The sequence below is a fragment of the Homo sapiens genome, chromosome 4 (genome assembly GCF_000001405.40).
Source record: "Homo sapiens chromosome 4, GRCh38.p14 Primary Assembly".
In the NCBI taxonomy this organism is placed as follows: Eukaryota; Metazoa; Chordata; class Mammalia; order Primates; family Hominidae; genus Homo; species Homo sapiens.
This window is the reverse complement of record NC_000004.12, coordinates 27721873-27735618: the sequence shown is the minus strand read 5'-3', so window position 1 is coordinate 27735618 and position 13746 is coordinate 27721873. Positions and strand designations below refer to the sequence as shown.

At 34.9% G+C, this 13746-nt stretch overlaps 1 annotated feature.

The window, feature by feature from the left end:
* Positions 5026 to 5226: a silencer, noted in NCBI's record as "peak5015 fragment used in MPRA reporter construct". NCBI's record gives its function as "represses an SCP1 promoter by STARR-seq MPRAs in K562 erythroleukemia cells {active_cell/tissue: K562}" and the evidence as "EXISTENCE:reporter gene assay evidence [ECO:0000049][PMID:32103011]".

The window sequence follows — 13746 nt, the reverse complement described above, 5'->3', positions numbered from 1 at the left end:
ATATCTCCATTACCTCTATTATGTCAGAGACCTATTATACATAAATAAATTAATATCAATATTAATACTACTGATTGTCAATTGTGTTATTACTATCATCAAGCCTAGTTATGTAATAGCCTCTCCTAGCTCAAACCCTAGCTTTTAGCCCTGGTTTATAGAAGAGAACCATTGTTTTTGAGGTTTATTTGGTTTTGTTTTTGTTTCTCCAAGATTATATTTTAGTTTTAGATATCAGTAGATCCATTTGCTTGAATTGACCTTAAATATGGAGTTTTGTGGTAAAATTTTTAAGTAGAATTTTATTTTAATACCTTTTAACACCTCTTTTAGGCTTCCCCTCCCCTTACAAGTTAAATCGAAACTACTGATCCCTTTAGTGATTCTGATGCAACCTTATCTATGTGTTTCTTATTTTCATGGTAAATGGAGAATTCTCCCAGTGTTTCTGTGAACCACAATTTTTGGAACATCTTCTGGCCTTCTGCAACGTTTCCACTCCATCATTTCCACACCCCTGGAGCCTTTGCACTCTTCCCCCGTGACCAAAAAAAAAAAAAAAAAAAAAAAAAAAAGTTCCGTCATTTAACTTTACTTCCTATGGGTTTTCAGATTTCTTTTGTTTCTGTTGGAGCCATCCTAATATTGAGTATACTACATCCCCTAGGACCCTAAGAACATGCAAGATAATACTTCCAAATCAATAAACTCTTCCCATATCATCATTTAATCCAGCCTGTTTGATCAAACCCTAAGAAATATGCTCCTCAGGATTCTGCCAGTACATTATGGCTAGGTTTTTTGTTTTTTTTTTTGCCCCCTTGGAATTTAGTCCCTTCATTCCCTTATTGCACCCAACATGTACCTAGTGGGGTTACTCAGCAACTTCACAAAAAGTGGATGGATGGCAGAGCAGATCCTGAGGGAAACATTGTCTGGAAGGATAGAGGCTTTGGGGTTGTCTTCAAGGCAAGAAAGTAATGTTAACTGGGAAGGATGAGCCACTTCTTCAGCCTCAGAAGTTTCAGAAATATGGGACAATTCAAAATATTTTGGAGCATCCTCCCAAGTGGCTCTATTCTCATTCATTTTCAATTAGGGCCATGACCTTAGTATAACAGACATCTTTGGTTGGGCATTTAACATACTCTAGAATAGTGACTTCTGGGTCGAGTCCCCAGTTTTTTTTTGTTTCTCCCTACAGGAGACGAGAATCTCTTTCGTAAGCTCTGGCTTTCACACTCAGTCTTCAATTGCTCATTAATCCCCGGAACGTTTTATCATCTCTACCTAGGTATCAACCCACCATCTTTATAGTTACTCTTTGCCTGTACTTTTCAAAAGTCCGACAAATTGCACCAGCTAGTGCATTCCCTTTCGCTTCTATGCCATCCCAATTCACTATCAGTGAGAGTTGTTTTTTTTTTTTTTAACTTGAACTGTTCGCTTGTGCCAGAGATGTCCTCTGGGATCTACATATTGCTAATGACTGGGTGGAAAGTGATTCCTCTCCATAATCCCATTTTATTACTCGCTTTCCTGGACCACTCTTAGCACCTGCTTCCACAGGTTGTATTCTTCAGAAGCAGGAGCTGAGATAAAATGTGACATGTAAGACGTTTTTAAGGAACCAACACTTGTAGAAAGCAGTGAGAGAAAGCAAGACTGAACAGAGGAAAAGATCTAATTAAGTTGCTGAACTAAGAAAGCCACAGCTAACTCCACAGGGTGATCCAGGACACGAATAGCCCATCAGAGGTGTTCTTTAAACTTTAACCTCATGCAGATGTGGAAGGCAATAAGAATACTGCCATGTAAGTTAAATCTTTGAGATTAATACTGGTGGAAAAAATTTCCCCGGTTACATATTCTTTTACTTTTACAGCATCAAGTTGTTAATATTTACCTTCTCTCCTGTGCTATATATGGGAAAATCTGTAAATAATGATTATAGTCATAGGACTCTATTAAAACATTTACTACAGAATCCTGGGTGTATTCCTTTGTTCTGTAGATCTCTTGCCTTTTGGTTTCTTGATTTCCTCCTACCTTTTTCTGAAGAATGATCTCAAATAATTCCCTAAAATAAGAATATGACAGACAAAACCTGATAGAGTAGTATCACATTGGATGAGTATAGAATTCTAAGTTAAAACAATTTTCTCTGAGAACATTAAAGGTATTATTCCTATATTTTTAGTTCCATTAAAGAAATATTAATTAAAGTCTGATTTTACTTTTTAGGTGAGTTTACATTTCTCCTGTTTGAGTGCTTTCTAGTTCTTTTTTTATCTAGATTGTTATGAAATGCAAATTCTATAACTAGGTGTGGTTCTTTTTATCATCTTATCCCTGCTTGATTAATGGGTCTCTAGTCTGAAAATAATGTCCCTTTAGCTCTGAGAAATTACCTTTTAATATTTTTTGATAATATCTTTTGATTAATTTTTTCTCCTCTCTCTCTCTCTCTCTCTCTGATCTTCCTAATAATAGAATGATTAAAATTTGGGTTTGATTCATTTTGTCTTTTAAGTTTTCTTTTCTATTATTTCCTTATTTTTCTGCTCCAATTTCTGTGATTAGCTCAACTGAATGCTACAATCATAAAATAATGTGTTTATTTTATTTCAGTAATTGCATTGTTAATTTCCAATCTGCTCTAGTTTTTACATTTTCAGGGCATTCTCATTTTATAGATGACATTCATTATTAAAAATTTTGGAACGTTTTTAATAGAATTTAGTGTAAAATTCTTTTATCTTGATTACATTTAATTCCCTCTTTCATGTTTGTCCTAGGGTCTTTTTTTTTTTTTTCTCTTTACTTTTTCTCTCTCAGGTTGCAGCATTTTCTCACATATCTGGAGAACCTTTGCAGTTTGAATGTGGTTATGAATAAATTAAGAGGCATGCTGAGTGGGGAGCTCTGTGCATGTGGGGAGGCTTATTGACTGGCAGAGCCAAATTTATGGGGAGTAGCCATGGAGGGAGCATGTTTTTTATTGCCTTTGACGATTTGATAATAAATTTTTAATTACTATAGTACATCCTATATTCAAAATAATATTTGTAGTACAAAAATACTTTGTAAAGAATAATAAAGAAGAATATCTATGTCAACACCAACCTGATTTAAAAATACATTTAAATATCTTTGAAGTCCCCAGTGTACTTTTATAATAGCATCGTGACCCATGTTGCTCTCCAGAGGTTTCTTAGAGTTTCACAATATGTGTACATGTGCTTGAATAATGTGTTGTTTTGTTTCATATGTTTGTTTGTGAAAATATATTGTGGGTATTATTCTGTGACAATGATTTTTCATATAACATACTTTTTATGTGACTCATTGGTATTGATATATGTAACCATAGGTCATTTATTTTCATTGCTTCTTCCAGGTATCAGAAGACACATGAACCAATGATCACTTCCAACTACATTCCTGTCTTAAGAGCTTCAGGGTACATAGACAGTGGCAAACCCTTGACAGGACTGGATTACTGTATTTTCATACAGGTACTATTTTACCTCCATCCAAGGTAAGTGAGGGCAAGCACAATTCCTCAGAGCCTTCCTTAGTGAAGGGAATCCATTTTTCTACTAATTCACTCATAGACAGCATATCCCCTTAATGTTTCTTGCAGTATGTAGACTGAAGTATGGCTTGCTACAGGGCTTGGCACCCCAAGCATGGGCCACTGGAGTAAAACAGATCTGCAGATACCCTCAGGATAGAGAAGGATTCAGGAACCTCCTTCCTCCATTTGGGATTATAAATTGGCCTTAATTTTTTGCTTTGCCAGCTCTTCACATATGAAGATTTGCTAAACATTTTTTGTCAACATTTTGAAGCTTTTCATTCTGGGAAGTTGTGTATATTCATACAAACATGTTGCCAGAACAGGAGGTCCTCACTATTTTATATCATTATTATTATTATTATCTTTTAACAGAATTTAATTTAATTTAAATGCTACACATTGTACATTGGTGCTGTGGGAGAGATGTGCTTAACTTTGTGTGTTGAAGTGGTAAACATTTTGTATGTATATTTTCAATTAATTCCTCATTTTCAAATCCATGTTTTACTACTTGTTCTTTTTTATATAGAGACTTTGTCTCTGGGCCTTTCAGGGATGCATGCATGAACATTTGCTTCCTAGAATATGAACGCATCTTGGTCTGTCTTTATGGGGCATATATATATATATATGACATATATATGTTATATGAAAAAAACAGGTTGAGAAAAACATTATGCATGTATGTGTGTGTGTGTGTGTGTGTGTGTATATATATATATATATATATATATATATATATATATATACAATGTTTTTCTCAACCTGTTTTATCATTCCACCACTTACTTCAGATTTTCAGTAATATCTTAAAATGTCTTTTATTTTAAAGATCAACCTCCTGTTCTTTATATTAGTATAAGTCTGTTACTTGTAAAGAGGTCTCTTGTCTATAATGTTGCAGTATCTCAGGAAGTAGATTATATAAAATATAGCAGCTGGCCTCTTGTACTTAAAACACCTCCAGTTCTTTTATTTTTTTAGATAGTTTACCATCATTAACTTAAATTTTATTGTGTAATCATCACAACCACCATTTGAGGAACATGATGAACACTGCTATTTCTAAAGAACCTCCAAACTGGAATTACATAATTAAATAGGAATAGATTTTATAATGTTATTTACTTCTTATCTTGTGTATATGTGGGGAAAAGCCCTCTGTTTACCTCTCAGATAAAAATCGTATTTAAGACAAAAACCTAATTGTCACACAATGTATAAACAGAAGCACCTAGGCTCTTAGATATTGGTAGATAAAGTAGAAGTCAGTAAACCACGATTTAGGGGACAGGGTTACATATTGATAGTTCATAGTACACTATCCTCACCATACAAATCTTGAGCCTATTGCTTGCTAATAGCTGGGCAAAGCTGAGGCAAGCTACTTAATTTATCAAATGATCAATATCATTGTCTCAACTATTATTAAACCCTACTGAAATGGTTTGACTGTGTCCCCAATAATTTGACCAACGGAACAAGTTACCCTAGGGATAACAGCACAACCCTATTCTAGAGTCCATATTGACAATAGGGTTTACGACCTCGATGTTGGATCAGGACATGCTGATGGTGCAGCCGCTATCAAAGGTTCGTTTGTTCAATGATTGTACATCTTGAATTGTAGCTCCCATAATCCCCACATGTCATGAGGGGGAGTAGCAGGTAATTGAATCATAGGGGCGGGTTTTTCCCCACACTGTACTCCTGATAATGAATAAGTCTCGCGAGATCTGATGGTTTTATAAAAGGGTAGTTACCCTGCACACGTTCTTTTGCCTGCCACCATGTAAGAGATGCCTTTCCTCCTCCTTCGCTTTCTGCCATGATTGTGAGGCCTCCCCAGCCATGTGAAACTGTGAGTCCATTAAACCTCTTTTTCTTTATAAATTACCCAATCTCAGGTATGTAGTTATTAGCAGCATGAGAATGGACAAATACACCTACTTAATAGGAGTATTTAAGAAAATCCTGGAAAGATAAGTTTCTGTTCTGACAGTCTCAGTCAGCCATAGGACAGTTTTACAAATACAAGATGACTGGGAGAACTTAGGGTAAATTTTTCGCTTAGGGACAAGGGTGTTTTTATTTAATAAATGCTTACTAATGACCTGCTTCTGTTAACAATGGGCAGCCTTACACTTAGCTTGACTTTTAGTGACTGGTAAAGAACAGATATTTACAATATTTTACTTACAATAAAAGGCCCCCAAACACACACATATATATATATATATATACACACACACTTATATAAGTGTGTATATATACTTATATAAGTATATATATACCTATATACATATATACGTATATACTTATATATACCTATATACTTATATATGTATTTATATATACATTATATATATTATATACATATATAAGTATACAAATACATACATATATACACTTATATACATATATATACACTTATATACATATATATGTATGTATGTATGTATTTGGGGGCCTTTTACCATCATTAACTTAAATTTTATTCTGTAATCATCATAACCACTATTTGAGGAACATGACGAACACTGCTACTTCTAAAGAACCTCCAAATTAGAATTACATAATTAAATAGGAATAGATTGTATAATGTTATTTACTTCTTATCTTGTGTATATGTGTATATATATATATATATAAAATGAAACATCAGTAAAGCAATGATCACATTGTCTGGTACCTCATATATGGTCAGAGAGATGATTTGTCTTTCACTTTTTTGCCATGTGTTTTCTGTCCTTCCACTTTCGTAGAATTATGCCTGCTACAAACACAAATATAGGCTAATTGAACTCTCGGTAGAGTCCATAGCAGGAAATAATTTTCTACCCTTCCAGCCCATGCTCTCTTCCCTCTTATCAAGACTTATCTTCTTGGAGCAGACCCTGGTTCCTTACTCAGCAAGTGCTATTGCAGAGGCAGAGGTGAGAAGCCAAGTCTCTATTTTAGGTACTCTGTAAATAATTTGATTTTTTCAGATGAGTTTCACTTTTGGTTGATGCATTGCTTAAACTGTCAAAATCGATTCAGATGTTAAATACCATTGATGGTAAGTTCAGGTGACCTTTACTTTCTGGAAGGCATATTTAACAATTATTCATCTATCAACTTTCTAATGTATGTTGGATTTTACTCTTTTGAATTAGGCATACATTTTAAAGATGTTATATAAAAGCATTTCATTCATCGTACATTGGAAGGGGTCTTTCAAACACAGCTGGGGACTCTACACACCTAGTGGACTCCCTCCCTCACCATAATAACTAGGATCTTGCAACAATGTGCCTTTGATATTTCTCATATTTATACTAACAATCTGGATGTGATTTCTCACCATTTCTAGGGAGTTCCAAATAGACAATCAAAGCTTTATCATCTTTGAGGCTGAAGCATTCACTGAGATAACAACAGGAAAACAAGTGTACTCTCCAGGAATGATCATTATGGCTTCTATGAAGTTTATTTTGAGCTAGTTTTCCTATCAAGAGGTTTATGTCTGTAGAGGAAATAAGTAACTTTATGGAATCTTATTTCTTCTGCAATGTAAAAATATTATTATTAATGCCTCCCTGGTTTGAAACATGATGTTAGGTACAAGCTTTAGGTTATACAAGATAACTTTGACATAATCTTGTCTTCAAATATATATAATGTAATAATATGTCTTATCAAACTACCTAAAATACCATGAGCATAGAGAGAGTGTTTGTGAATGGCAAGTTAGAATGGGCTTTAAGCAAGAGGTAGGTTTTAAACTATGTTAGGATTTTGATGAGAAGTACAGAGAGAGAACCATTCCCAGCACAGGTAAAGTATTGTGGGATGTGTGTATGTGTGTACGTGCATCACTATACACCTTGTGGTAGCTCTTGATCTTTTGGTTGCAAAGGTACTGAGACTGACATGAGCTTGCTTAAAGAATAAAGATTACGTTTTGAGGCTATAGTTACCGCATGCAAGGCATCAGGAATACTGGAATTGAATGCCTGAATACTGGGAAGATTCTTGTTCTGTTTCATATTTGTTTCTTTCTGCAGGTCTTCTTCATTTTACTGTTGTGCTGCAGACTAATTCCTCTTGTTTTCCTGTCTACATGGCTTCCAAAGCTTGAGGGTTTCCTCTCTTTCATTAAAAGATTGACCAAATTAGGCCTGAAATCTTTTAACATCAATTCCAAATTCCATAAGGAAAATGGACGTTGGTCCATTTTGTTTAGGGTCTCACCCCAAGTCCAGTCAATTTTTCTAAAACATTAAAGTCATGTTGAAGAGAGGTGACTTACTTGAGTAACATGGATGCAACCAGGGGAACAGGGTACTATAAAAGGCTACAGTTCCTATTTAAAAAGAGAGATCTGGAATAACCAAACTATAAGTGCCCACTTAGGTGATGAATACTGTTGGTCATCTGACTCACTAGCGATGTAATAAAATATGAATGTAGAAGTGTAGAGTAATAAAACTAAAAAAGTTAGTTGGGATGATGTCAAAAGTACTGTAAATAAAATTCTAAGGAATTATAATTTTACTCTTTATGTAAAAGGGAGACATTAAAAATATTTAAATGAGACTTTGGCACTAACAATAGTATCTATAGATAGATTCATATAGAAGCAAAGTATAGACCAGAGGGAACACCCCAAAAGAAACCACAATGCTTTGGATGAGAAGTGATGGATTTAGAGTTGTGGCATTGAGATTGGAAAGGAATATTCTAAAGTAACGTTGATTCAGTTGGATTTGGTGTTTGATTTTGTGTAGAAGAAATAGAGATATTTTTAACAACTAATTCTTCAAAGACAGCTTTCTCGTATTTATACTATATTAATATGGCTTAAAGTGATTTTAAAAACCGAAGTGTCTATCTTCTTCTTTTATAGTTATAGCCATATGCTCATTTTGTGGGGGGGGGGGGACAGGGGATGTATGCTGAGGGAAGGTTGGGAGAATGAGCTTGTGACTTCATACTCCAAAGGAATTAAGAACTGACCTGAGTTCTTCTGAGGAGAAAGCTGTACTACATAACAGATTGTCATATGCAATCAATAGATATTAAATAAAAGAAAGACTACATAGACAAATTTATATGGGAATTGCTGAGTTAAACAATTTTAAAGAAGTTTCTTATTCCCAGGGCAACTTCAGACCTTTAATATGTTAATGTTTTATAATTTTTTAAAGCAGCAGTATGGCTTGTACAGTGTCTGTCATATGGCCATGAAACTACTTTTTAGAGGGAAACCTCCATGGACTAATTTTGCTTGAAATTCAATATGAAATTCTGCTAAACCTAGGGCTTTCTGAGGATCAGAAGGGCTATTTCCATGGTAAGTATCATTTAGGATATTTCAACATAGATTAAAATAATTTAACTAGAATCAGAGGATACATATTGCATTGTAATGAAATGACTTGGATGATTTAAAAACTGAAAATGGCTCTCATGCTTCAGATTTGTAGCCCAAATACACATCCTTCTGAGTTTGTCTTGAGAGAAGGATGAGAGAATGGCTTATGACCTTTGCATTCCTCATGGAACTAAACATGAGCCATGGCTTACCCGGAGGAGAAAAATTATACTACCTATTGCATTGTCAAAGAATACTTGGCCTGTTCTTTAACAGAGAAGAGCACTACCTATGCTGACTCTCAGACCATGGTGAACTAAAATGATTCAGAACTAAGAAAACCTAATATGTTTTTTTTTTTTTTTTTTTGAGTCTCATTCTGTAGCTCAGGCTGGAGTCCAGTGGCACAATCTTAGCTCACTGCAACTTCCTCCTGCCCCGGTCAAGCTATTCTCCTGCCTCAGCCTCCAGAGTAGCTGGGATTACAGGCATGTGCCACCATGCCTGGCGAATTTTTGTATTTTTAATAGAGATAGGGGTTTCACCATGTTGGCCAGGCTGGTCTTGAACTCCTGAGTTCAGGGGATCCACCCGCCTTGGCCTCCCAAAGTGCTGGAATTACAGGCGTGAGCCACTGCACCCAAGTTCTAATATATTTCCATATTAAACAGCAGATCAGTTTTAGGAAAATTACTTTGAAAAGTGAAGTGAATATTGTTGATCTCTGGACACTCAACTTTAACCAACCTTTTCCTATAGAAACAATCGTAATAATAAGAAACTTATTTTAATGAAGAAGGTTTTCATTAAACAAATATATATTCTGTTATTTTTTTGTTCTCTTAACCAATTCCATGTTTAATTTCAAATACACTCAGGCTACACCTAAGATTTTTGAATTGTTTAGTGAGAAATCTAAATGTTTTGCATATCACTCTTCATCTGCACATATTTCTCAAACTGCCTACATTATAATTACTTAAAGAGAACCCCATCAGAAAATTTCTGAACCAGGATCTCTAAGGATGTGGTTTGAGAACCTGCAATTTAACAGATGTCCATTGGATCTTGTGCACACGATATTTTGAGAAACACTACATTAGATTGTGCTTGTCCTAAGAATGCATAATTGCCACTATCGTTTTTAAATGTCCAAAAGTATACACCTATCAAAGACTCAATTATTCATTAGTTTACTTGACGACATATTATGCTCTGTCATATGATGGCTTCAAAGATACATAAGACTTTGCCTCTGCTCTAAACATTTTTGCATTATCCTTCTGTTTTTTATATTAAGCCAATAAATAAAAAGAAATCCCTTGCTAGATGGTGAAATGCAAAGAAATATTGTTTGGCATTTTTTAGAGTTTTGTTCCTACAGGTAAAATTTTTTTTGGAAATCTAGTTCTCCAAAGTGGTTTACAATTAGTTTATACACTGTGGAGGTGGATATAAGTGAGAAGAGTTTCATATACAAAGTATTTTTAATATGTGATTCCTCCAAAGCCTTCTGAAGAAACGTCTATCAAATCGAATAATTGACGCACTTTGAACACTTAGCTCCAAAAAGAAGATGACATTTTTTCATTAGTTTAAGATTTATATGCTAAAGTATCTGTCACAATAATAATAAAATCTGACAGTGCAGATCATATGGATTTTTCACCGCGGCAGAGGTAACGTGTTTTTTGGAAGATACAAATGACAATTTGTTCAAATCAGAGATTTTAAAAATTTAGACAAGCTCGGAAGCTCCAGAACTTTATATTTCACCATTTCAAAATCACTCATTAAATGATGTTTGTGTCATGTCAGCCATACTGATTAATATTGTGTATGTAAGAATAAATATAAGTTATTTTTTCATATGCTTTTTGGGTTATCAACATTTTCAGGAAAGGTCAGGTGCCAGCCATCTTAAATCCATATACAAAGACAGTTTTAAGTATAGGTATATTTAGGTATAAATTCTAACGTAATTACTCTGTGTCATAGCTGAATTCTCTGTGCTTTTGGTTGTTGTTGTTGTTTTGCTTGGGTAGCTGCAGCCCTGTGAAATTCCAATCCACTCTGAAAGGGAGTACTAAAATTACATGCATAACTCAACTTCTAAACAAAGAGGAAGAAATGCTTTCCTAGGAAAAATACACAAAGTATCAGTATTACCACAGTCATTGCCTTTCTGCATTGCACCAAAATCTCCTGTTCATGGAATTGTGTCACAGATTAGACTGCATTCCTCAAGTGAAGAGCCACATGTTATTAAACTTTGCTATCCCATTGTCTCATATAGGATCTGAGAAGGTGCTTAATAATTGGGAGCCAAACAGAAATGAAAGGTAAAATGAGATAGGTTTGCTACCCATCCTCAAATGGCATGAGTCCTATAAGTGAGTTATGCAGACATTTAGTAAAATTACAACCACGAATAATTTTTAAAAGAAAATAAATAGTAGAAAAACTACCTTCTAGGTTTCCTTTAGGTCTATGCTCCTGGCTATTTCAACTAACCATATATTTAGTTTGAAACGACTAGGAAAAAAAAATGTAGTCTCTTAGGGAACTATTTAATACTAAGAGATAATAATTTATCTTGAAAGAATTAACACAGCTCCTAAGTGCTTTATATATTCTCAAGAAGTAGCTTATGTTGCAGGAGTCTACCTTCTTAAAACTTAATTTTTCTACACATGAAATTGTTATTTTAGTTTCTTTACTTAAAGAGACCTTTAGAACAGTCAGAGTTTTTCACTCTCTAAGCTACATTTTGTTGTCAAATTGTATTTTACATGAATACTGCAGAAGCTTCACATTGCACCCGTAGGGAAAGAATCTCATCCCATCTCCAGCCCAAGAAGGATTAATCACAGATAAGTATAATACAAAACTATAGCCTTTTATAACAGCACTAAAACTTCATTACATAAACAGAGTGCCAAGAACTTTCAGAAATAAAAAGAAGCTCTCATACTGAAGTTTACATTACAAATAAAACCTCCCTCCATAATGAAATTCTGTAAGCAAATTATATTTGGGAGTACGTAGTCAAACACCTACCACAAAACCATGTATCACATCTGGAGGAGGCTGTCACACCCAACTTCAGCTTTTTTGGATCAATGTTTCTTTTATCTTCTGGTTTCCCTTTTATTTAATTTTCCTTATAAAATCTATAACTATCTACTTTCCTTAGTATATGAGCCTTAAGTAAGACACAATTCATTTTCCACAGTGCTGAAATAAACTTTGTTGCATGTCTATTTTAAAAACATTTATGACACCAAGTACCTTCCAACCACCGAATACTGCATAAGTACCTTCGTAATTCATCATGTGAACAATTACATATTAACTAATAATTTAGTAATATTGGAAGCATACATGTAAGTATGTACAATCTGTAGCTTTCGGGGCCTATTTAGAAGGACTTCGTAATGCATGGATTGGCATTTAGATAAGTGAAAAAATAGGGACAGCTATGGGGAGTGACTAACTAGTCACTCTGTAACTCCGCCTTTTCTTTTGCTTGCTATGTCAGTTCACATAAGTAGACGGTTACAAAAGTAAGCGAAATGTTTGTTTCACTCAGTATGCCCTGGTTAAAGTTCTAGTAATGAACAATGCCAAAATCTCAGTGACTTACATCAAGAACGGTAGACCCCTTTCTCCCTCTGCATGTGCACTGCAGGTCAATGGGGGAACACTGTACATCAGAGCAGTCATCATCTTGAATATTGCCAGAGAACAGGAAAAAAATGTAGAGATTTGTTCCATAAGTTAAAAGCTCCACACCATAGTGGCATAAGTTATTTCCATTTGTAATTCATGTCCTGGAATTAGTCACTTTTTCCCACCTACACAGAAGGTCAGCAAATACAATCCTACCAAGTAACTAGAAGGAGGGAAGAACCAGACATGGGTATTTAGCAGTGATGCTGCCCTTTCATATGTACTTCAATCCTACAAGCAGGTGTCTACACCAGTGGAGAAATAAGGACAACATGAATGAAGTCCCACACTAAACAAGGTGTTAAGTCTGGAAAACAAGACTGTTTTTTTCTGTTTTTTGTTTTTTGTTTTTTTTTTTTTGAGGAGAACGGCCAATTCACTCTGCCCATTGACTACTTTTCATTATTCCAAGTTGCTTTATAACAGACTCTGAAAAATTGCCTGTCTCATCCCTGAGATTATAAACTCCCTGAGAAAATTTAAAATTGTTCATTCCTTTCAGCACAGGGCCTGGCATATTGTACTTACTTAATACATTTAATAAGTAAATGAACGGCTTTTAGAATGCCTGAAATCTTTTAATCAGAAAACTGAATGAGATTTATACTACACTCAACTTTGATTATTTTTCTTACAAGTAAAACTAAGCTTTATCATTTATCTTTATCACTTTACTCAGTTTAGTTATTGAATCAACCATTTCTATATAAGGTTGGATCATCATTTTTAATACCTAGATTATGGTCAGGGGCAGTGGCTCACACCTGTAATCCCAGCACTTTGGGAGGCCTAGTGGGCAGATCATGAGGTCAGGAGTTCGAGACCATCCTGGCCAAGATGGTGAAACCCCATCTCTACTAAAAATACAAAAATTATCAGGGCGTGGTGGTGGGTGCCTGTAATCCCAGCTACTCGAGAGGCTGAGGCAGAAGAAGCTCTTGAAATGGAAGGCGGAGGTTGCAGTAAGCCAAGATCATGCCACCACACTCCAGCCTGGGCAACAACAGTGAAACTCCATCAAAAAAAAAACCAAAAAACTGGATTATGTTATATTCCTATTTGATGGCACTGT